Below are 25,731 nucleotides of genomic sequence, written 5' to 3' on the forward strand. Positions count from 1 at the left end.
GGACACAGACACAGGGGGGTGACGGCCATGTGAAGACAGAGGCAGAGGCTGGAGTGAGGCATCTACAAGTCAAGGAATGGTAAGGAATGCCAGCAACGACCAGAAGAGAGGCAGGGGCAGATTCTCCCTGAGAACCTTCCAAGACCAACCAACCCTGCCTACACCTTAACCTTGGACTTCCAGCCTCCAGAACTGTGAGACAATAAATTTCTGTTGTTCTAAGCTAGCTAGTTTGTGATACATTGTTATGGCAGCCCTAAGACACGAGTATGCTCTTCAAGGACAGGATCTGTTTTTACCCTTCTCATTATCCTTCTAAGAGATCCGTGTGCTGTCTTCAGATGATTAGGTGCTCAGTAAATGCCTGTGGAATGCACCACAGATTTTCACGCCCCATCTGCAGAGGTCCTAGGGGCAAGGAATGTAGTAAATATTTTATGGATGGGTGTTAAAGGCCCAGCGAGGTCATTTACCTTACAGTTAGCTGGCAGCAGAGCTGGTTCCAGGACAGGAGTCCTGGGTCTCAACAGCTAGACAGCGTGGCACCTGGAAATGCAGCTGGTGTGATTTTGTCTTCTGATGTGAGTCAGCCAGCTCAGAGGCCTTGAGTGCACAGCGGGTATCTTTGGCACCATTAACTGAAGCCATTAGAAATGTGCTGGGTCTATGGTGGTGCTGGACAGAGGACTCAGAGATGCCTGGTTTCCCGCCTGCTCAGGAAGCCCTGGGTGGCCAGCTCTGGTCCTGGGTCACAGGGTTGCTCTGGGATTTGGCTTTTCTAAGAGGTAAGCTGAAGGCTGTGGGGCTCAGGACACATTCTGGAAACACCCAGTGGTGAGCTTCTCCTCACCACCCCCAACTGGAGGCCCAGTTAGTGTCTTCTCCTCCTCCAGTACGAACAGCCAGATGTGTCTCACCCTGGGCTCTTGTCATCTCTGCCAGCAGGCATGGCCTCCTGCAGGGGCCAGGGGGACAGTCCCTGGGACCCTGAGCATCCTGCAGCCCCTCTGCTGTTTGGAAGTGGGTGGTGGGGATGGCTGGCTCTGAGGGTGTGTGTGTGTGCTGATGTTACAGAAGATGCGGGGTTCATCTCCTGCAGTGTCTACCCTGTCCCCCAGAACTGTGAGTAATGGGGGCTCTTTCCAGGCAATTATAAGCAATACTCTGACTGGGATTTCCCCTTAAGGATTGGTCTCTCCATGCCCTTGACAATGAGCCATGGATTATATTTCTAACCTCCTCTGTATGTGGGGGCTCAAGCAGTCTTTCTTTTTTTTTTTTGAGTGTTAAAAACCATATTCTTTTTATTCTAAAGATTTATGTGATTTTCACATTTTAATATCTCTAAAATTATGTCATAACTGAAATTAAAATATGTTTGTCGTGTAAGCAATTTTTTAACTGTAGTAAGATATATATAACATAAAATGTATATTTTATCTATGTGTGATTTTTAGGCGTACTGTTTGGTGACATTGTTTAAACTGTTGCGCAACCATCGCCACCATCCATCTCCAGAGCTCTTTTCATCTTCCCAAACTGAAACTCCATACCCTCTCTTCTTGCCCCGCCGGTAACCATAATTCCACTTTCTCTCTCTATGAATTTGACTACTCTAAATACTTCATATAAGTAGACTCATACAGTATTTGTCCTTTGTGTCTGGCTTATTTTTCTTACCACAGTGTCTTCAAGGTTCATCTATGTTGTAGCATGTGTCAGAATTTCCTTCCTTTTTAGGCTGAATAATATTCCACTGTAAGGATAGACCACAGTTTGCTTGTCCATTAATCCACGGATGAACACTGGGTTGTTCCCACCTTTTGGCTACTGTGAATAATGCTGCTATGAGTATGGGCATATGAATACCTGTTGGAGTCCTGCCTTCAATTCTTTCAATTCTTTTGGGTGTGTATACCACCAGAAGTGGAATTGCTGGATCATATGGTAAGCTTATGTTTAATTTTTTGAAACAGTCCTCTTTTTATAATCAGAAATAGATAGGGCTACAGGAAATGGAGAAGGCAAAAACAAACAAACAAAAACAACCTAGCGTCTTTTGAGAAGAACTCGTGCTAAGAACTTTATGTCATCTTGTCTAAACTCTGTAACAAGACTATGAACAAGATATCATTTCCATATGATGGGAAATTCAAGACACAGCCCCTGCCCAAGGTCACACGGTTTATAAGTGTGGAGGCACAAACTGAACCCAGACAGACGGCGGGGGACCCACGGGGTGGCTATGGGCGGAATCACAGAAGCAAGGATCCTACTCTTCCTTGGCTGTCTACTTCTTCCCCATTACTGCTGAGGGGCCTGCTGGGAAGATGGTGAGATTCTGAGGAATGTCCTGGGGGGCAGGGCAGGGTGTGGGGTGGGGAGAGGTGTTCCACAAATCGTGAGGTTCTTGGAGGAATCTCTAATTCTAAGCAGGCAGTGGCATGTGTGTGCCATCTTTTGAGTCTTTTCTTATCTAAATTTCATAGTTTTTTTTTCAACGGTTTCTCACAGTGACAGTGGCCAAAGCCCTCACGGGCCCTCCTGTTCTCCCTCCATGGAACCTACTCTGGTCCCTGACATAACATAGCCTGACACATCCATCACAGCTCTGCAGATCAGGCCTGATGGTTCTGAGACACTCAGGGATTGAGTTCCTTTAAAGACTGAGCTGCTCTCTATCTTTGCTCCTATTTTGAGCTTTAGTTCTTTTTTTAATGATGCTGGTTTTACACTGTCCAATCTGAAGAGCATTCTTCTTGATGGGAAAAGCAAAAGAAAAATAGGAGCTGAATAACACATTTCATTGTGGGGTGCATTATGTGGGGTCCATTATGCCCTGCAAAGCATCTTTGTGACTACCACTCATTTGGTCCTCATGGCAACCCTCAGAGCTAAGTAGGGCAGTGCTATTACCTGTTCAGTGAGGGTGAATGACTTGCACAAGGTCCCTCAGCTAGTTAGCAGCCCAGGCAGAACTGAGGTGTAAATCCATATCCAGAAACACTTTGGGGGAAATTCTGACTACATAAGCACAAATAACTATAATCAGGAAGCATCTAAAACACTAATATGGTTGCACTAGAGACTCTGAAAAGCTCACATTTGAAGACAAAAGCAAAAGAAAAAATCTGCTTTAGTTGTAAACAGACAATGCCCAGCACTGAGGAGTAGTGTGGTCCCCAGGGAAGGATGCAGAAGATGCTGGATTTTTAGGAAAAGCTGAGGCTTGGGGAAAATGCAGAGGCAAACTAAAAACATTTTTAGTTATGCTAATAGCATGATCCCATGCCTTCTCCAACTCCAAAAAAAAAAAAAAAAAGCTCAAACAAGAAATAACAAAGACAGCAAAGAACAAGATAGTACTAGGTCTGCTTTTTGAAGGAAAGTGGAGAAATACTGACAGCTCCACGTGGAGAGCAGAAGAGCTTGGGGAAAGGGCCGGTAGTTGAAGCAGGGAGACCAGGCTTGGTCTGGTGTTGACCAGTTGGTTGACTTGCAGCAAATCACCCTCCCTCCCTGACCCTTTATGTCCCAGATGCCCAAAGTTCTGGACTAGTTCAGTGTTTACCAAACTACTTTAATTCTTCTTCTGCCCTGGTGATTCTGCCATACCCACACACCACTTGCATTACTGAATTCTAGCCAGATGCTGTTGTCTGCTTAAGGAACTGAGCCTGAAGCCTGCTCCTACTTGGTTAGAAAGGGAGATGAGCAAGGGTTAAAGAGGTGTTGAAACCGGCCCAACTGTTCCATCAAACTGATGTTTACTGTTTTTTGGATAAACATAGAAATGGACCCTCTTGATCTTAAAGCTCGAAACTTACATTTATCTTATTTGAGTCCCATCCTCAGAAAACCGACCCTCAGGCCTCCCAGAGAGTATCAGGGATCTGAAACTCACCAGATCACTGCATCCAGACATGAGATGCCAGACCCCTCATCCATGGCGATTCCTGTTTTCCAACCCCTCTTCCTTACCCCTCCTTAAATCCTGTTTTTCCACACATAGTTACATTTCTTTCCTGCTGTTATATATAAATCCCTAACTTCAGTTGGTTGAGGAGATGGATTTGAGACTGATCTCCCATTCTCCTTGGTTGCAGCCCTGAATAAAGCCTTCTTCCCTGGCAGCACTTGTTGTCTCAGTGATTGGCTTTCTGTGTGGCAAGCAGCAGGACCCAGACCAAACCCCTGACATTTCAGTAACAGTGTTAAAGATATCCTAGCATCAAATTAAGACTTCTCTTTGGTATCACTAGAAAGATTGAAAGAAAATTCAAGAAGAAAAACTTAAAAATAATAATTCCATGTCCATACACCACCTAAACTGCTTCAGCATTATTTGGAGTCATTCTGAGCCCACCAGTGATCCAGGGTCCACACTTTGGGAAGTGGTGGACTAGGCTGGTGATCACCGATATCAGTGATGTCTATGACACTGTTAGTATTTTTTGACCCATATGTCCGAGGTCCAGGATTCTTCCTACTTTGTGGCACAATGGCCCATCAGCTCAGGTTGTTCTTAAATGCCGCACATACTTCCCAGGCAGCACACTAATCTCTGCCATGTTCACACAGTACAAGTTCCTCATGTTGATTGTAGCTCTGCCCATAAGCCAGATCCACTTGAAGCTTTAAGGATCCCTGACACTGGACCACAGGAATGCACTTGTCTGTTGGATTTGTCTTCCATGGTGTGAGCTCTCTTCCTATTCTTTCTACATCTCCAGTATTACAATAAAGTTTATTTTTTCCATAATAAAAGTAATGCACAATCATTGTAAGAAATCTGATCACCAAGCAAAAATGCAGAAAGAATTAAACAAATCATCCATGCTTCCACCACCCAAAGATACCATCATTGTATTTTGTTTTCTTCTAGTCTTGTTTTTCTTTTAAATCATACTTACATATTGTGTGTATAATTTTGTCTCCTGCTTTTTCCCACACTACCATCTGAAATAATAATAAGCATTATTCTACATGGATGCATTCTGATTCTTTCTAATTTTTGCTTATACAAATATTATTAATAACAGTATTTCTAAAGTAGCACTATTTCCTCGGGAGAGATCCAAGAAGTGACTCTCCTGAGTGCCATATCCCACGTGCAGTGTTTGAATGAGACTATTTTGCTGCACCCTCACCAGCATTGGGTAGGGTACTCACTAAAAATCAAAATCAAAGTCTTTGCTAATTTGCAAGCCAAAAATAGCTATCTAGTTGTTTGAATTTTCATTGTGATTACTAGTAAGATTGAAGATTTTCCATCTGTTGGAAAGCTAGCTTTATTTCTTCTTTAGCGAATTGTTTATTACATCCTTGATTCACTTTTCTATTTTGCCTTAGGGGTTTCATTACTGATTTGCACGAGCTCTTTATATATTAAAGATATTAACAATTTATCCAATATTTGCTGTAAATATAGTTTTTGGCTTTTAAAATCTAGGTTCATTAGAGGTTTCCCAGGTAGCCACATTGATTTCTTTAGATGTCTCATTTTTCTTCCTTGTTGGAAGTATATGTGAATTTCTTGTTCTAATTTCATTTTTAGAGTCTCTCACTCCTTGTGAGATGTTTTCTTTTAGAGTGTGCAGCCATGGACCATAAAACCTTGACTTTCAACTTTCAGGTCTAGGACACGTGTCTGCTCTCATGCCACGTGCTCTTCCTTTGTATGTGCACACACCCACCATCATCTGCCATGAACATACAAAGACATGCAGGTCTCAGGCCCTCAGGTTTGGCTCAGGGCTCTTAATCTTTCTACGTTTAATGCTTATTTGGGTCAAGAGGTCACTCACAGGTGGTTTACTATGTCAACGAGTTCATGGTTTCTGAATGTTTCCTAAGGCTGAAGAGTTCATTCAGGGTTTCAATAGGACAGTGGCGCCTCAGAGCAAAATCCCTACTACTGGGAGATGTGAAGTTTCTATTATAATAATAATAATAGTCATGATAATAACAGCTAATGTTTAATGATCACCTGAAATATGCTGATCTTTGTTCTAAGTGCTTCACATTAATTACCTGGTTTAATCTCCAACAACCCTATGAGGCTGGTACTACAGGTTGAGTATCCCTTATCCAAAAGGCTTGGGACCAGAAGTGTTTTGGATTTTGGACTTCTTTAGATTTTGGAATATTCACATTAAACTTATGGTTGAGCATCCCTAATCCCAAATCCAATACTCCACTGAGCATTTTCTTTGTGCATCATGTCAGCAATCAAAAAGTTTCAGATTTTGAAGTGTTTCAGATTTGGAATTTTGGGATTAGGAATACTTAGCCTGTATGATTATTTCCAGTTTTTGGATGGGAAAACTAAGGCACAGAGTGGTTAAGTAGTTTGCCTAAGTGTACAGCAAAGCTGGAAGACATGCATATGTAGTGTATGTTGCTATGAGAACAGATGTGTACGCAGATGACGGTTGGAATTGCCCATGAGTGAAAGCAGAGACAGGAAATACAAGTGCCAAGAGGAGAGGTAAGGCAGCTGGTGCAGCCTAGGGGTGGAGCCCAAGTAAGCACACCCATGTCCTGTGACCCCCAGCACTTGGTCCCTTGACTTTCAGTGGGTTCACGATGCAGGAACACATCTTGCACAGGAATCCGAGATATTGCCAGGGGTCCCAGGACACTAAGCAGACAGAATTTTGTTACCTGCCTCCATCGCAAGTTAAGCACTGGAATTCCAATGAGGGCCAGGAGCAGATAATAATCACAGTGGCAGCAGCTAACTTATATTGAGCAGTAAGTACATGCCAAGCGCTGGACTAAGAACTTTACATGTAAAGATCTTGTAACAATCCTATGAGGCTGGTACTGTTATTACAACCATGTTATATATGAGGAAACTGAGTCTTAGAGAGGTTACACATCTCCAACTGGCAAGCCTGTGCAATTCCAAAGTCTGTATATTATCTTCACTTTGCTCTCTGCCCTCCTGGGTGAGGAATGTTGATATGATGGAGCTCTTCTCTCCCTCCTGCTCCAGGATACCCTGATGACCAGCCAGGGCTGAGCAGAGGAAGAAGAAATGGGGCTCCAAGGGATGCAGCAGGGGGCCCTGCTATCTTTTTTCTAGAGCCCTGGGATAGAGAATAAGAGAAAAGAGTGAGGCCCCTGGTCTCACTCTGAGCGCTGTTCCTGAATGCCATTAGTGGATTTGCTTCCCATTAATGAAAACTGGTACTTGCTAAGAATTCTTGGAAGAGGGAGAGCAGACAGCTGCCTTTTGTTTATGGGCTTCTGGAAGCAGCATTTCTGAGCCCAAGGCTTGCCGCTCTGCCCCAAGCAGCAGCACTGACGGGGCATATCTGGAGTGGGAAGCAACTCCCTGTGATGACAGCTCCATCTATGTTCGCTGGGCTCAGGGCTGTGTTTGGTGTGGGCAGCAAGTCTTACAAAGCTTTTGCCTTTCCTCACAGAGCTTGGTATTCACACAATTTACCCGTGTCTTTGTGAACAAGGATAGGATCTAACCTTTACTTCCGTCTACCTGTGGCCATCTCAAAATAATTGTCTCATTTTATGGGCTTCTGTCTGGGTTTGTAGCTGTTACTTCTCTTGATTGAATAGATAAAAAAGAGTATGTTTATACTATTCAACTGCATCTCCCATTAGTCACCAGTGCAAACCCTTTGCCCTAGTTAGGCCAGATTCCTCACTGTCCCCACAAACAACAGGTGTTATCACTGCTACCTGGACAAACCCTTCTGGCTGGAAGGCTCAGAGGCATTTCACTCAAGAAGGCTCAGTAATCCCCAGCCCCAGGACCATCCTGAGTAGGACCTATCTTCACTGTTACCCCAGGTGAGCTCTGGGATCTGCTATGCACCATATGCCTGGTGTGCTGGGGTATGGAGAGACCCCCCATCCTGCCACCAGCTCTGCTCAGCTCTCTGTCCTTTTACTCGGATCCACTGCTTTGCTCTTTGCTGTTGCCACCGTCCATTAGCCACCCCAGCCACTGCTGCATGAGGCCCCTGGAACCAAGGTACTGCTTCCTATTTGCTTGAGTTTTACCATGCTCACAGCCCACTGTGGTCTTGCTTATACCCCAGACTGGATTCCCATTGACCTAGATGCTGGGTAGACTAGCTGGGGAGGGTCACTTTCCTAGTTCTGGTCCTGGCTTTCTGCCTTTCTCAGTAAACCCATCTGGTTGAGGTCTTAGCATTCATTCAGGAGCCACCCGCGAAACAAATGCTACAAAGACAATTCAATCTATTTTCTTCTGTCATGTGAGTTTCACTGTAGTAAGAGAGAAAGTCATGTGAGCAAATGGTTGCGCTGCAGTGTTATGAGTGTTAAACAGAGTCATGGTCACGAAATTGGAAACTAAAGAGGACGAACAATTATGTCTCAGGCTGTGTGGTTGTGCGGTTGCAGGGATATGGGGCGACCTAAAATGAAAGGGGATGCTAGAGCAGGTCTTGAAGAATGAGTAGGAATTTCTTAGGTGGATGTTTCTGATGAGAGTGGTAGGGACAATTCAAATGGGCCTTCCAGACAGAAGAAATGGGCTGGAAGAGTGAAGCAGCAGTTTGGGGGTGTGGCAGACAAGGTGAGAGAGCTGGTAGATCATGAGGCCATGGTAGGTGGGAGCTGAGCAGGAGACAGCATCCAGGCTGAACCTCAGGTTTCTAGCTCTAATAGATGCAAGGTTGTTGGTGTCATTAATTAAGTTGGAGAATGGTCTTCAGGGATGGGGGAAAGACTACAAATCTGATTTCAGATACGCTGACTTTGAGGAAGAGTGGCAGGAATAAGTGTCCCCGGTCTCACTCTGAGCACTGTTCCTGAATGCCATTATCCACTCACCTCCTGAATGGTTGACAGCTCTCACAATCCAATCCCTCGTCCCGCCCTCCATTCTGAAGGTCAGACCTATATAACCCAGCACCTCACTGGACATCTCCACCCAAATGACCCCATCCTCTCAGGCTCTTCAAACTCAACGTGTTGTTGCTAACAAAATGGATTATCCCCCCCAAATGCTTCTCCTGTTGGGTGCCCAAATCACAGTAGACCCGACTGCCTGAGGTGGAAGCTGGGCATCACCTTTGATTTCTCCCAGGTAGCACTGGTGGCTGCATCCTTAGTGTTGCGTTGACCCTCTCATGTTCTCGCCTACTCCATTTCTACTGCCATTCTGTTCACTATCGACTCTTCGGTGGCTATTGTTCCAACTGCCTGAACTCTTCTCCCCTCCATCTAATTATCCTCCGGTCCATCTTTCTACGTCAGCAGCGTGGATCTATAGATCTATATTCATTTATTATCTGCTTCCCCACAATGTGAGCTCTATGAGAACAGAAACCTCTGTTCACTGTTATTCCCAGTGCCCAGCACACAATAGGAGCTCAATACATATCAATTAACAAACAAATGAATGAATCTAAAAATGCAAATCTGATCCCATCACTCCCTGCTTGACTCTTCTGTGGCTCCTCATAGCCTTCCAGATAAAGGCCTGTTTCTTCATGCAGCATAAAAGGCTTGCTCAGATCTGGGCCCAGTGCGGTTCCTCAGACCTTGCACTCATTCATGACTTTGTATCTTGGCCTATATTCCAGGTAGGAGACCCTCCTTGCAATCCCTGGAGCATATCTTAAGCCAGTGGTTTTTCCCGCCTGACCAGGCTAGGACCCAAGTGAGACAAGGCAGGGCCCTTGAGTGCAAAATTTAAGGAGGCCCTCACTCTCAGGGACAACCCTACCCTTGCAGGACCTCAAGAGTGGGTGGCTCCTTAGGTTTTCAGCCCTGAGTCTGCGCCCTGCTGTGTAAGGCTGGTTTTCTTTATATACTACAAACAAAACCACAGATATCAACAGATTGAATGCAGATGCAGATGTGAGAATCCAGCTGTCTTCTAATTCATTAAAGAGATTTTCAAAAATATAAAACAATGCCACTCTTCCAGGTTTTTTAAATTTTGGAAATATATTTTCCATAAAATGTATTTTAATGTGTAATGGGATATGTTATTTTAAAATGAATTAATAAACAAGTATTTAAAAACATTTAAAAATTCACAGTGCTAAATTTCTAACCCTACATATTCCACAGAAATAAAAGGTCATTGGGATTCTTGGTAATTTTTCTGAAACCAGAAAGTTGAAGAACTGCTTTGTTAAACTAGACAATGTGGAAAACATTGCTTATAATAAGCACTGGTTGCATGAATTTTGTGACTAAACAGGACTTCAGAGAAGTTAGGGTGGATGCCTCAGGCAGCACCCTCCTGGCCTGGAAGGTTTTCCACACTTGCTTTCCTCTGACACCGGCTGTGCTGACTCCCCCTTTCATCTGTAGGGAAAGAGAAAATTGATGAAGGTAAGACTCTTCCTTTCACAGGCTCAAAACTCTTGTCCTGAATGCCTTTACCTTTTGTCATTTTTGCTCTTCCTGTACTTTTCCTGTGATAATGGTTTGGATTTGTGTCTTCACCCAAATCTCATGTTGAATTGTAATCCCCAATGTCAGAGGAGGGATCTGGTGGGAGGTGATTGGATCCTGGGGGCAGATTTCTCATGATAGTGAGTGAGTTCTCAGGAGATCTGGTTGTTTAAAAGTGTGTAGCACCTCCCCCAACCTCTTCCTCCTGCTCCCACCATGTAAGAAGAGCCTGCTTCCCCTGGCTGTACGTTTCCTGAGGCCTCCCCAGCCATGCTCCCTGGACAGCCTGCAGAACCATGAGCCAATTAAGCCTCTTTTCTTTATAAATTACCCAGTCTCAGGTATTTCTTTATAGCAGAGTGAGAAGGTTCTAATACGTCCTACCTTCCCATTCTATTTTTCCCTTCAAGGTAACAACTCAGGTCTCACCTACTCCAGGAAGTCTTCACTAACTGCCCAATTTAAATGTTCTCAAATGTGGATCCACAGATCTATACTGAGCTGGCCCCACGAGAATCACCTGGAGAGTCCATAAAATGCCCAGCCTCTCCAAGTCCAACACATCTTCAGAGATACACTGATTTACAGGATTCAGAGATACATATTTTTAAAAACTCTCTAGGAGATCCTTGAGGCCAGGAATGGGAACTGCTGAGTCTGTAAGTTTTCCCTTTGACAGACTATAATCTCCCAGAGCACAGGGATTAGAATGCCTCCTTCTTTCATATCTCCAGAACAATGGGCACAGGGCTCCAGGCATGGTTATGGAAGCCCACTGAACTGGGATCCTCAATGGGGGGAATATACTGCTTTAATCATAACTCTAGCTGGAACAGCCTCTCTACTTGCCTCCCATCCCATTACCCACACCACAGGTCTCCCCTTACTCAGGAAGTATCTAGGAAATCAAAGGCACAGACTCAGCACACTGTACATTCACCCACATTGGGTCTACACCTTCCCAGGCTAAGGATCAAGAAGCCAATGACAAGGCCTCTTTAAAAGGTGGGGTGCATGTGGTCCCAAGCATGTGCATGTAAGAGTGCCTAGACACAATGGTGAAGAACCTATGGTTTGTAACTCCGAGAGAAGCCTGGGACGTTGGGTGACAATGTGGACCAGATCTGGCAGTTCTTCTTTTGTTCTTTTTCTGGAGACTTTCTAAGTTCCAGAAAGGTTTCCAGGGAGGGTTTTGTCGACCAAAGCCATCTGTAATAAACATTACTATAATTCTCCAATCATCTATCATTTTTACCCATATATTTCCCCATTATCTCACTCCCTTTCCTTTTTTTCTGAAAACATCTCTCTGATGCCCCTTCCCTAAAGCATGTAGCAGCCAGAACGATTTCCAAGACAGTGCAGGGAAAGCTGAGCCCCTGGTCCTGCTGGTTACCTAGACTCAGAACTGCTCCATCTGAAAACTCAGTTTCGATTCAGACAGAGTTTCTGTGTGTCCCCGCTCCCCACCCCGCCCAGAATGCAGTGGCAGAATGATAAATGTGATGCCGAAGATAACGAGGCTGAAGGGAGGTGTAGTTCTAACGGAATAAATACCTCTTTGGTAAATCTTCCCATCAAGATGTCTTTATAACTAAAAGCAGCCGCTCTGTTCCCTATGGTTGCTGTGAAGACTGATGGGCTTCTGTATTTCTCCAGGAGCCATCTCTCCTCCCTCCTCCAGCTCACCACCAGCAAACAGACATCATACTGGGTCCAGGAGGTAATTAAAGTTTCAGGGGCAGGTGGGAAGCAAGAGGGGCGAGAGCCAAGAAAGCAGCAGGACCATACACTGGCAGTGTTGCCAAACTGGCCTTGGTCCCTGGTTCCTGGTGACAGCTGAGCATCTGCATTCACTTGTTTTTACGGAGATTGAGAAGAACTGGAGGCTTTTCTTTTTGCCAGTTTTGACATCTCTGTGCTTTGCACATTAACAGGCTCACCACTTGACACTATGTCTGATCCATCCACTGCTCTGCAGAGGTGTCAAGCAAACTTGCTAGAGATACTAAGGGCCCAATTATGGTGCCCAGTTTATACTTGGATCTTGACAGATGCTGGAAACCTTTTAGAATCTGGGATGATTAGTGCAGACCTTCCCTTGCTTGCAAGCAGCCTGGAACCTTGCACTCGTTTTATCGGTATCCAATATATCCTTATTGAATGGCCTTTCCCAATGAAGCCCATAGGGGCAGTCAAAGGCTCAATGACAAGGAGCCTGAGGCCCAGAAAGAAAGGTAACTTGCTTGAAATTATACTTCAAGCTGGTAACAAGTCCTCAGTTTCTTAGGAATCATGCTCAAAATAAGAAATTCAGGCAGGTCAGGGCAAGAGCAGCAAGCCAGCCAGAATTTGTTGGATGAGGAAAAGAGAACAAATTAAAGAGAACGCTGTCCAAATGTTGGTGGTGCTGATTTCTGGCACAATTACTCTGCCTTCTGCTGCCCATATACGAAGGCCAGAAGTCTAAAACAGACTCTCTCAATATCACCTAATTAATCAATTTCTTAATCTCCGGGGGTATCTCCTCACATAGATAGCTGAGAAATAGTGTGTAGATAGATATTCAAGGAAGGTGGTGGTGGGCAGTGGTGGTTAAAAACCTTTAAAAAGAACAAACTAATCTGATCAAAGAAACTGAAAAAGAAAGAATAAGGGAAACCCAACAAGAAGTGGGCCTGAAGGGGACTTATTTCAGGAGGGAGAAGGACTGTCCAGGGCCTGGATTCAGGGCCCAGGGCACACAGGCCAGGAGTAGATGGAAGATCAGTTATCCAATCAGGTATGAAAATCCTTGATAAGCTGGGAAGTAAAACTCTGAGTCACTTGAGATGGCCACTTGAAGAGGCCTAATGCCATTTATCTACTCTGTCATTTTACAAGGGATCAGACCAAGGATTTGACCAGTGAAGGGGGTTACAGATCTGCATCTAGCTCTCTCCCTGTTCCAACTCACCTTGGAGTTGGAAAAGAGGGTAAAGTCCAGGGAATAAAAGTAGCTATAGATGCCCACTAGGATTTGGAGAGAATTTTCTTGTAAGGGGGAGATGTCTTTAAACACCAAAGCAGAAGCCAAATCTGATCCTGGGACTTAGACTCATATTTACTGCCCTTTCTGCTGAGAAGAGCTTGAAAAACAAAACACAAGAGCTTGAAAAACCAACCCCAAGACTTGCTAAACTTAAGGATTTTCTCCCCATTCTCCATATTTGTCTCAGTTCCTTCTGGCTAAGCTCCAATCCTTAGTGTCTGCTCTCTGTACTTACTGAGAACACAGAAACATATATAATCTGAAACTTGGAAAGGAGTTTAGAGATCTTCTAATTCAATCTTTCATTCAAAGTGGAACTCCTCAACACCAGTCTTGACAAGAGGTCACCCAGGCTTTGAACTTTTGCAATAATGAAGAACTAATTACTTTTCCATGCAATCAGACTATCAGAGACACCAACTGTGAAAAAGTCTGCCTCAGAATTAAGCCCAAATCTTTAACTCCCATACCTGGGTCCTCATTTTGCCTTCTGAAGAAACACAGAAATTTATTACATCTTTTTATAAGGGATGATCCTGCAGATAGTTGAAGACAACCAGCAAGCCCCTCTTCAACTTTCCCAGTAGGACATGGGCCAGGCCCTCCATCAGCCAGGATGCCCAGCTGTGGACATGCTTCAGTCTGTCAATATCCTTCTTAAAATGTGGGCCCTGTTATGAGTGCAGAGAAGCCAACCCATTGCATCCAATGGGTTCAGACCAACTTGGAAGAACAGGAGGCAACCTGGATCCCTGGGGCTTGGAGGGTGCTCAGTGCCTCTAAGAGTTAAGCTGAGAGCTGTTTCTCAGAGAAACGCCAGGCAGATCATCCTCCAAAGCAACCTACAGAGATTGAGGCAGCGCTGGGGGCCAGGGATCTGGGAGGGAGTCAGCCACATCTAGCTGAGGGTCTAATTCCTGACCTTTGGAAGCTCTGCATTCAGATCTTTGTGCTGGCCCCTGCGGGGAGCCTCCGTGGCTTGACAATGGGTGGGTAGGCGGTTGGAGGGCAGGGAGAGGATCATTTTTAGTTGTTGATTTTACCAACAGATATTCAGAAAATCAGTATTTGTGTCATTTTATGTAAATCCAGATCCATCTGTCAGAGGTGTTTGAACCAGAGCAAGTCCATCTTTAACAGGGGTTGCGTAAAATAAGGCTGAGACCTACTGGACTGCATTCCCAGGGGGTTAGGCATTCTAAGTCACAGAATAAGATAGGAGGTTGGCACAAGAAACAGGTCACAAAGACCCTGCTGATAAAACAGGATGCGGTAAAGAAGCTGGCCAAAACCAAGATGGCAATGAAAGTGACCTCTGGTCATCCTCACTGCTCATTATATTCTAATTATAATCATTAGCATACTAAAAGACACTCCCACCAATGCCATGACAGTTAAGAAATGCCATGGCAACATCCGGAAGTTACCTTATATAGTCTAAGAAGGGTAGGAACCCTTAGTTCTGGGACATCCCTGCCCTTTTCCCAGAAAACTTATGAATAATCCACCACTTGTTTAGCATATAATCAAGATATAACTACAAGCATATTTAGTCGAGCAGTCCATGCTGCTGCTCTGCCTATGGAGGAGCCATTCTTTTATTCCTTTACTTTCTTAATAAACTTGCTTTCACTTTATAGGCTCACCTCAAATTCTTTCTCGTGTGAAGTCTAAGAACCCTCTCTTGGGGTCTGGATCAGAACCCCTTTCTGGTAACACATCTGTGATCATCTAGTGTACCTGCAGGCTCTGTAAAATTTTTTGATTACCTTGCTGTTGCTTTTTTCTCCAAAGGCATGTGGTAACATCTTCAGAAATCTCTAGGGAATGAAAATTTGGGCATAATGCATGGCTTTATGTCCTGAAGGATGTTGAAGTTCACATGGGTGGATCCTGGACAAGAGACTTTTGGTCATCTGAGGTTTGTGACAAGTCAACATGAATCCTGAAGAACCAAGTCATGGGTACTGTCTCTGCCACATCCCTGTCTGGAACTGGGCACTGCCAGTTTGGGCCGCCTGCCTTCTTGGGGCTCCCCATGTTTCCTTGTAAGCCACAGTCCCTGCGGGCAGCTTGGCAATGACTCCCCGTCTCTCGCACCAGCCCGATCGCACTCCCTCCCAGTAATCTGATTTTCTCTGGGCTCCGACTTTACAAAGAATCTTCTCAACTGGCAAGATTTTGATAGAAAGTGTTTGTTAAAGAGTCTGGGATGGGTTATGATTCTCAGTCTGTACTCTGTTGGACTCTGTTAGTTGCTCTCTTAGTTGCTTCCCTGCACCTTCTAGGTTTGTTTCCTGTGAGGGTGGGCTTTTTCTCTTCTGACCTCCAGAAGCCTCCAAGGGCAGTGACCATCTCACCTGACAGACCCTGTGGGTAGCGGTATTAGGATCACCACCATTTCCTCATAGCTTCCAGAGGGGCAGATTATAAGGAGCTTGCTGAGTGCTAACCTGTTCATGCAAATAGACCCCCAGCGACCCCTGAGCCATTTTATGGCTCAGAAACAGGTTGACAGATGTTGGGTAAATTTCCCAAGATCCCACCTCTGAGTCTAAGGCCTGTGGATTCTCTCCAGTCTGGCCTTGACTTCTCTATGAGTTCAGGATTCCAAACTCCATCCCCGGTACCCTTCACTTGTCCCTGGTGGCTTTCCAGTTTAAATAAAGTAAGCATTTCTAGTAAGAGTGTCTTGTACTTTTCCCCACCCCCTGTGAATTGACACAAAAGGAAATCAACATTTAAGTTAGTTTTAATACCAACATATGTTTATTAACCACAGTGTCTTTCATTCAGTGCATTTCCATATGTATTAAGTCATTTTATCCTCTCAGTCACCCTATAAAACTGACCAAAAAGTGTCCTTATCTGTATTTTGAAGATAAAGGAGCAAAGATCCAGACAGGCTTAGGGACATACTTAGGGTCTCAGTGAATTAATGACCAAGACTGTCACTCCCCTGCTAGCCCTCACTCTGCCCTCTGATGTAACAGTTCCCAGGCCCAGTCTTTTCTCTGCAGTATCATCATGAGCCCCTCAACATTCCCACACCTGATGCTACTCTCTGAGATACCAGATATCCTTCTGATATGAGGCCTACTCTAAAAAACAAGAAGATCTCTGCTGCTCAAAGAGATCCAATTTTTGAGTAGTTATTATGTGCCAGGGGCCCTGCTCTGTCCCATGGCTCTATGAGGTAGCTATCATTATTAGCCCAATTTATAAATGAGGAAACTAAGCATGAGAATAGTTTAGTGACTTGACTGGGCTCGTAAAGCTAGTATGTGACAGAGCCTGGATTTGGACCAGGAAGTTTTGGCTCAGAGTTGAGACTCCCACGTGGTCTAGGCAGTACAGAGTCCCACTTAGTTGCCTGATTTAGACTCCCAAGGGCCGTCGATGAAGCATAGGATCACACGGGTGTATTCACAGCCATGTTGCCCAGCACCGTGGATTGAGACTGTGGTCAACTAAAAGCCCTAGATGTCTTTCCCATAAGCTGTGTCTAATTTAGATGCCCCCCCTCGAAAAACACTAACATACTACCCTCGCCCCTCTAGATTGTCAGTTTATCAGACTTTCTTTGATTTTGATGACACTGAGAGTGTTGAAGAGTACTGGTCAGATATTTTGTAGAATGTTCCCCAATTGGAATTTGTCTGATATTTTTTTCATAATGAGACTGGGTGTTTTGGGGGGAGACCACAGAGGTGCCGTTCTCATCATGTCATACCGAGGGCACATATGATCCACATAACGCGTCACTGTCGAGGTCAACCTTGCTCACCTGGGCTGAGGTCATTTTGCCAGGCTTCTCCACTGTCAAGTCAGCTTAAAGTTACACTACACCCCTCCTTTCCGTGATGTACTGTTTGGAAGGAAGTCACTACCTGCAGCCCACACTACGGAGTAGGGAGTGGTACTCCAGCTCCTTGAGGGTGGGACATCTATATAAAATACTTGGAATTCTTCTAGATGTCTCTACACTTTATTCAGGGTAAACCTATCACTCCAGGTGGTGGAGGTCATCTTGAATCCTGCTGCTGTATGCAACTGGTAATTTAATTTAATTTTCCCAGGTATGTGCTATGGATGCCTCCATTAACATGGCTTCTATCTTTTACTGTTACTTATAAAAAACACAACAGACATCCCAGCGCGTTGGGAGGCCAAGGCGGGCGGATCACGAGGTCAGGAGTTCGAGACCAGCCTGGCCGACATAGTGAAACCCCGTCTCTACTAAAAATACAAAAAATTAGCCGGGCATGGTGGCAGGCGCCTGTAATCCCAGCTACTCGGGAGGCTGAGGCAGGAGAATGGCTTGAACCTGGGAGGCGGAGGTTGCAGTGAGCCGAGATCGCACCACTGCACTCCAGCCTGGGCGACAGAGCGAGAGTCCGTCTCAAAAAAACAAAAACAAAAGCAAAAACAACAACAACAACAACAACAACATCAACAAAAGCACACACAACAGATGAGGCCAAAGACAGAGACCTCTTCACAAATCACCTTTTAAGATGTTCTGTTGACACTTGGGAAAAAGGGCTGGCACTTTTGGAGGACAGTTTTGAAGTCAAATGGTTGTACTATTGTCCAGATCACATCTCTGTATTTTACTCACAATGTGATAGGGAATAACTTCATTAATGTTTTCCTGAAATCACGCTATATGCCAATTCTATTCCCCTTGGGTTCTAAAAAAAAAATACCCTACTAGGAAAAGGAAATCATTTAAATTTTGCATGATTTGTTTTTAGTGAGCCCCTGCTGGCTCCTGGGTATCTATCTCTTTCCCAAGTGCACACAAACAATCTATTTACTGCTCTATCTTTTTAGAGTTTCATCGGTTTGACATCAGGCTGATCAACCCAGAACGAGAATCTTGCTTTTTGAAAAAGCTGTTTCCAGTCTTTGAGCATGTCCTTTGTTCCATGTGCTTTCTCAACAATTCCCAGCAACATTTCAGCTATTGTATCTGCCCATTCTTTCAGTCCTGAGACACCAAGTATTTGGGTCTGGAGTCTTGACCTCATTCAAAATTTGTTCCCTTTGGTGAAAAAGATGGAAGCAAACAAGAAGCAGGTGCTTTTATTTTCCTCACTCTTCTCCAGAGGCCCAGTTCTCCACACAGGTAGGTATGTTGTATTCCTTCCTGCCCTTCAGCATTATCCTAATTCCCTTTTGTTAGATCTTTCTTTTGGACAAAGCTAACATTATGTCATTTCCCCAAGGAGCAGTCCTTTACCTTGTTCATTTTCCTGCTTCAGGCATTACTTAAAAATAACAAAACCACTAAAAGCTAACCTTTATTTAAGGGTTTGATAGTCAGAAAAGGAGAGGAAGAGCATTACACGCAGGGAATAATGATACTAATGATGGCTAATATGTATTGAACCAAATGTGCCGGCACTAGGCCAAGCACTTACCATGCATTATCTCATTTATTTTTTACAATAACCCTTTGAGAATGGATATCATCTCCATTTTACAGATAAGGAGACAGAGGCTTGGTGAGGTTAAAGAACTTGCCCAAAGTCACAAAGCTGAGATTCAACCAGGTAGGTCTGATTCTGAATCCTTACTGTTAACAGTAACAACCACAGAAATACAAAAGTGCCCTTTTTTGGCTGGAATTCTTTGTTTAAAAAATGGTTTATTCTGGGTGCCTTAGTCCATTCGAGCTGCTATAACAAAATACCATAAACTGGGTGGATTATAAACAACAAACATTTCTTTCTCACAGTTCTGCAGCCTGGAAAGTCCAAGTTTAAGGTGCCAGCAGATGTGGTGTCCAGCGAGGGCCTGATCGTCAGAGATGGCCGTCCTTGCTGCATCCTCACATGGTGGAAGGTGGTGAACAAGCTCCCCTGGGCATTTTTTTTAGAAGGAAGGAAACTAATCCCATTCATGAGACGTCTGCAGTTATGACCTAATCACTTCCTAGAGGCCCCACCTCTTAATAACTATAGCATTGGAAATTCGGTTCCAACATATGAACTTTTTGGGGACACAACACTGGCCTCAGACCTCCAGACACAGTTCTTGCAGAGTACTGTGCCCCCTGGTGCTGCTCCTCTGGTATGGAGCCCTCTCATCTTCTGACGGGCCCCGCACCTTTTCCAGGTGGGAACTCCCTGCAAGCATTCTTTGCGTCTTCATTGGTTCCTCTATGTTAGGTCATTTTAACATTAAGTCTCCAACCCCCTCTAAAATTATACACAAAACATTGTATAGGTGTGTCTTTTTTTTTTTAATGGGGGAAGTGTTTAGAGTTTTCATTAGATTCTCAAAGTGATTTATTTTCTGCTCCCCTCCACTGCCCCATTCAGAAATTTGTAAGTCATTGTTTTTGATGTATCTTTTCTTAGGTGGGCACGGTTTGTGACTGTAATATAGACATTTCACTTTTATAATCTCCCTGTCCCACCTAAGCTGTATTCCCCTTTGGCTCTTCTGGCTGTGGAACTGAACTTCCTGCTCCATTGTGCTCTGTAGACTCTCCCTTTATAAAGCCTCAGGCTTATGTCTGAAGATGCCCGGTGTCCCCTCCCCAGGCTATCAGTCATGCTCGGATGACGTGGCTGCTCCTCTAGCTTCCCATCCCTGCTCTTTTTGGTCACTGCACAAATAATGCAGCAACTACAATGGCCAGGCACTGTTCTAGGCAGAGGGGACACCACAGTGAAGAAAACAGTCAAGTCCTCATCCTTTGGAGACCAGCAGTCTTCATATCAATGATTCATTCTTTTCTGTGGATCACAATGAAGTCTAGACTCAGTTCCCCTATTTGTCTGTTCCACCTTTTAAGGGATAAAATTATTAGTGGGTCAAGTAAAAAATTTATCAGCTCTTCTGCTTTTAGCAGAATACTTGCAGTCATCTAATTAGTCAGAGGCCCTATCACAATTCCTTTCTGTCCTGTGCTGTTGGGACATCGTCATCTGGGAGGCAGTGTGTGGCATACCCTTCTTCCAATCCTCTCACATGGGCGGCTTCCTCTGGCTCACAGATTCAGACAAGCATGCACCTTTCAGGCACGTAGTGTTTCTCTTTCTCTGCGCAGTTAGAACTTCCCTCGCTGTACATTTCAGGCCTGCGTTCCATCCAACAGAGAGGAGGACCCATGAGCTTATGTTAACTTGTTTGACCACTCTCTCTTTCTCAGTAGGTAAATATCAGAAAACGAATTGTTCCTGACTCTTCACCCACTAGTTCCTGAGGCTTGCTGGGCAACTCTTCTGGAAAATTTCTTCTTTCTCTAGAATCAGCATGCTCAATTTAATCGCTATGCAACTCAGAGCAAGTTAAATTCTCTGAGGTGTCTTAAATTCTCTGAGGTGTCTTCATTTATGTAACAAGGATAATACTACTTATCTTTTGGGGTTGATGTGAAGAGTAAATGAGACAACTGTAAGCAGCTAAATTGCCTGTTGCAGAAAATGAGGCCACCACATAAGGGCACAGGCCATATCAGTTCCCTGGCTCCTGCTCTGCCAGGCCTGTCTTCCTTTAGTGTGTTTGGCCTTTTCTAGGCATTTCCGTTTCCTCTGCTTACATTCACTTTAATGTCTCATTTCAGTGTCTGCTTGTTTGAGGCTGTTTAGGAGAGAAGAAAGAATTTAGAAGGATGGTCAGGTTGGCAGAAGGCTATGCCCAAGCGGCCCTGGGAGTACAGGCCTGGGGGGGTCAGGGGATGGCTCTTCACTGAGATATGTCATTTCCAACCATTTCTGCTTCTCAGACCCTGCCTCTAGGCCAGGGCCCATTGGGACTTTGTAGCATAAAAACATGTCCTGGAGAGAGGGAAGGCAGCTGGGAAGCAGGGCACCTGGGAGGCAATATGGGCATCACTGTGGGTCCCCAGTGTCAACCAGAAAGGGGCCCAGGTGTTTTGGATTCAGGACTGCTCTTGATAAACACGGCATTCGCAGGGGACAGGGACTCACAGAACTCCAGGCAGAAGGGCTGATGGTGAGGGTGGGTCAGTGCTGGGCTCCACATAGGCCCCAGCTGTCCAGGCCCCCCAACCCACCCTGAGCGGGCCATGCTGCCCAGATGCCTGCCTGCCCTTTAATTCAGTCATTCCATTTTAGCATCCCTGTGGGGAGCAGTCATGAGGGAAGGTGGGACCTCCCAAAATGTCAGGGTCCTAGAGTGAGAAAGCAGTGCCACTCTCCCTGGAGAGGTCCAGTGAGGCTCTGACTGGAGAGGAAATGCCACTGAGAGAAGTCCAGGCTGGGAAAGATGCAGTGGGGGCTGGGAGGGCTGGAAAAACCATCTCAGCTGAGGCTGGGATGACTAGTGAGCAGGGGTGGAAAATGATGCCAAGGAGCTTTCACTCTGGACAGTGACCAACGGGAGCTCCACGGAGTAGCTAATTAATGCTGTGGCTCTGCCAGCGTGAGTGGCCCCCACCTCCATCTGTAGGACTGTCTCTGTATGGCAGGTGCCTTTCCAACTCAGTTGTGTATATGATCTGAGAATATGTGGCAGATAGAATGAACCAAGAGGCACTGTCAGAGAAGAGAAAAAGTTGGGGAGGTGGGTACCACAAACCCAGGGATTCTTTTCAGAAAGGAGAAATCCCAGCTCTCCCCACCTCTTCTGCTTTGGGTCCTTGGATCACGGCAGTCTTTGTGATCAGTTATGAGACAGAGAACAAGAGTATAAACGGCATCTTGAGGGCAAAGATTATGCTATGTTTATTTTTGGCATGGTTAGCATCTTTACAGGCATGAGTTCCACCCTTTGCTGAATGAATGAATAAATGATGCTTGTTATTACATTGTCTGGATTGAGCTCAACTGGGAGCTTCTGCATTGCTTTCATTGTCTTTCTCCCTCTGAGTTATAGATTTTTTCCTAGACCTGAGCTCAAGTTGAGCTCAGAAAAATGCTAGCTGGGTTCTGTGGAGTGGATGAGAGAATCAGAACAGTCTCCGGAGTTTGGGGTTTCCATAGCAAGGCTCTTGGAGCTCCTGCAAGGGACACAGCCCTGTGCACAGACTGACCACTGTGGTTCTGATAGACTCCAGTCCCACCAGAGGCCCTACCACGTGGATTTCCTGGAAGCTGTGCACATGGAGAGGGCTGCATTCCCTTGGCTTTTCCCCATGAGTGGCAAGAGAAGGCAAAGGCTGCCCAGTCCCTCCAGATGGCATGGGCCCCAAGCTCCCTGTTTCTAGAAAGTGGGGCAGGCCTCAGGGGCCCACAAGGAGAGCTAAAAACAAAGCCTGACTGTTTCTGCTTCTTTGGAGAGTGTCCAGGTGGCCTCTGGGAATGGGTGAGTGGGGTGTCCACTCTTGCCTGGGTGGACATCTTGCTTTGTTTTGACTTCAGGAGCCAGTGAAGCCCCTTCTGCCCTGCATTTCAGGGTTCTCTGATGCAGGCATTGGTGCCAGGCTGGAAAGAAGATAGTGATAAGGACAAAATAAGCCCATTGAGAGAATAGAACTAGGGTTGCAAAAACATAGGCTCCTCAAATTTGAACCTTGTGTTTCCCCTTACACGGTGTTACTGCTGCTCCTTTGGCGACATTTTGCAATGTTATTTAGAGATACTGAAAACCCAAGTGCTGGCAGATGATGTAGCAATCATTTTATGTTGGCATAAAATGGGGTCTGGGAATGGAGCTTGGTGGGTAGGCAGGTTTTATGTTCTCTGGGACTTTGGCTCACGCTGAGAGTGACAGTAAACATGGCTTCTTCCCCTTTCTCCACCTTCCAATTCCCCATATGGCCCCAGAAGAGAAGTGGCCTGTACGCAGCAGAGCAGGGGCTCAATGAACACCTCTTGGAGAGAGGAAGAGGTGAGGTGCACAGCAGGAAACGCAGGTTCAGGTGGATGTGTCTCTCAGGATGGGAGCAAGGCACTCTCTCACTCACTCAACCACTCAACATTTTAAAACGACCTGTGACACGTGGAATGCCAGTGGGGGAAGAACATGAGATGAAAGCAAATTGGACACCAGCTCTGCCTTCAAGTTCATCATGTCCCTGCAGACCTCTCCAGGACAGAAGCTCACTTTTCCAGGAGGTGGGGAGGCCCCCTCTTTGATAAGCAATGCCACTTCAGAATTATTCCTTTTATTATTCCTATTTCCATTTTTTAAAGGATCCAGCTTCTTTGATGGATATACAAAGAAGGTACACACGTCTATCCTCTTTTTGGTCTCTGTCATTTTTCAGCTTTCTGGTCGCTGAGAACCTTGGCATCTGCTGTCATCCTACTCTGAGCCCTGCCATCATCCCAGCTGGCCCCAGGATCCACGGGGACCACTCTAACAACAGCTGTCTGCCCAGGTCCCTGACTATCCTCTGGAAACACTTTCTTCATTCTCCACACAGCTTTTACAAATGTTCATCCCTTTCCTCAAGCCTCCTCACTCCCATCCCTTCACTTGAGACAGAAGATCTTGCCTCTGATGTTCCACAGAAAATGGTGGCCACCCACCTCTCCATGTTTGGCATACACACAGCACACAGTTACCTGTGTCCCCTCTCATCCTTCTCTCTCTCCCTCCATGTCACTGGAGAAGGCAGCGTTCCTCCTGTCAGAGCTAATCCTGCTGGTACACCCAGCATCTTGGTCCCTTCTGCCTCCTCAAGGACTTTGTTCCAGCAATTGTGCCTTCATCAGACATCTTCTTCAACCTCTCCATCTCTACTATTCTCTCCCAAGCTCAACGCTTGTGCTCCTTCAAGACAAACACACCTCTCTTGACCCTGCATACTGCTGTTATTGTTCCCCTTTCCTTCATAGCCCAGGTTCTTCAGTGCAGTCCACGTGCATTCTCTCGGCTTCCTTACTTTCCATTCACACTGTAAGCCCTGCCATCTACAGTGAAATGTGTTCACCAAGGTCACTGATGGCCTCTGATGCTAAATCCAGTGGGCGCTCTTCAGTCTGAAGAGCAAAGTTTTTGGCAGCCTCTTTGCAGCATCTAACACTTGAAAACTGCCCCTCCTGTTGCAATTCAATTCTCCTGGCTTCTGGGAAACAATTCTCTCCTGGTTTTTCTCCTGCCTTTCTGAGCACACCTCACATTTCTCATAGGCTCCTCCACCTGCAATTTAAAGGCTCCCCACAGTGCTCTCTTCTCCTACTCCATCCACTCCCAGCTACATGCAGATGATGTCAAGATTGGAATCTTAACCTGGATCTTCCTTGGATGCCAGACTTGGCATGTCCAGCTACCTATCCAGTAGCTCCACTCACTTCTGACACCTCAAATGCAGCATATCCCAAATGGAGCTTTACTGTCTCTCCCCATCACCCTCCCGCCCCCAATACCCCAGGGTCTCCTCCTGTTCTCAAGATTCCCTTCCAGTTATTTAAGTCAGAGACCAAGGAGTCATCCCTGACTTGTTGCTGTGAGCCACGTGTGGTTCCAATTGTCTTATATTAACTCTATGGAATACTCACAACAGCCCTGTGAGGTGCTTCTATTATTATATCTTATTCATAGACAAACAGAGTGAGACACAGAGAGATTAAATAACTTACTCAAGGGCACAGAACTAGTAAGTGGCCAGCCTGGGATTTGAACCTAGTGAGCCTGGTGCTAGACTTCATGCTCTTTCTTACCCACTAACCCCACTGCCTCTTGGTAACAATTCTGTGGATTCTCCTTCCTGAATAATGCCTTCAACATTGCTGTCCCCCTGCACCACCATATCCTAAAGGTCTGGTTGGCTTCAGCCTAGTCTCTCTAGAATCCATTCCCAGTGAGTCCCCATATCCTTCCAGATACAATCAGAGGCCTCAGTGGGTTTGCAAAGCTCTGTTTTTCTACTTCTCTGGCCCTGCTCCTTGCCTTTCCCTGTTACCTACCAGCACACTAGCATTGTGGTGACCATATAATTTATCATCCTAACTGGGATTGTCTGTGAGTGAATGAGGGACTATTTATAATTAAGCTTGGTCAATAAGTGTAAACCAGGACAGTCCCACACAAACTAGGATATATGGCCACCCTAACTATCATCCACTTATACTGAAATATTTGCTGTTCTCCAAACACTCCGTGTTCTTTCACTTCTGGGCCACTGAACACACAGTTCCCTCTGCCAGAAAAAGCCCATTTATCCTCTTTCGGGAGCTCTTCCCTGATGTTACTTTCCCCGGGTTATGTAAGATACCTTTCCTCTGTACACCCATGACACTCTCTGCTGCTGCTGCTGCTGCTGCTGCTGCTGCTGCTGATAAAAGAATGGCAGCCAATGTTACCTGGGGGTGGGGTGCAGGACAGAACAGCACAGTAGTTGAGCCTATGGACAATGGAGCTAGACAGCT

General features: G+C 45.4%; 1 protein-coding gene across 7 annotated transcripts in view; it reads right to left on the minus strand.

Moving 5' to 3' along the window:
* KCND3 (potassium voltage-gated channel subfamily D member 3) overlaps positions 1-25,731 on the minus strand; it is a 219,007-nt gene that overhangs the window by 50,153 nt on the left and 143,123 nt on the right. Inside the window, exon 3 of one of the 7 annotated variants that reach the window (XM_011541427.4) lies at positions 1,266-10,317. The exons of the other annotated variants lie outside the window; for them this stretch is intronic. Coding sequence (XP_011539729.1) covers positions 10,314-10,317 — 4 coding nt within the window. The 3' untranslated portion in view covers positions 1,266-10,313. Of the gene's footprint in view, positions 1-1,265; positions 10,318-25,731 lie in introns of those variants that run through there. 7 annotated transcript variants of the gene reach the window in all.

Source organism: Homo sapiens, chromosome 1 (genome assembly GCF_000001405.40).
Source record: "Homo sapiens chromosome 1, GRCh38.p14 Primary Assembly".
Classification (NCBI taxonomy): domain Eukaryota; kingdom Metazoa; phylum Chordata; class Mammalia; order Primates; family Hominidae; genus Homo; species Homo sapiens.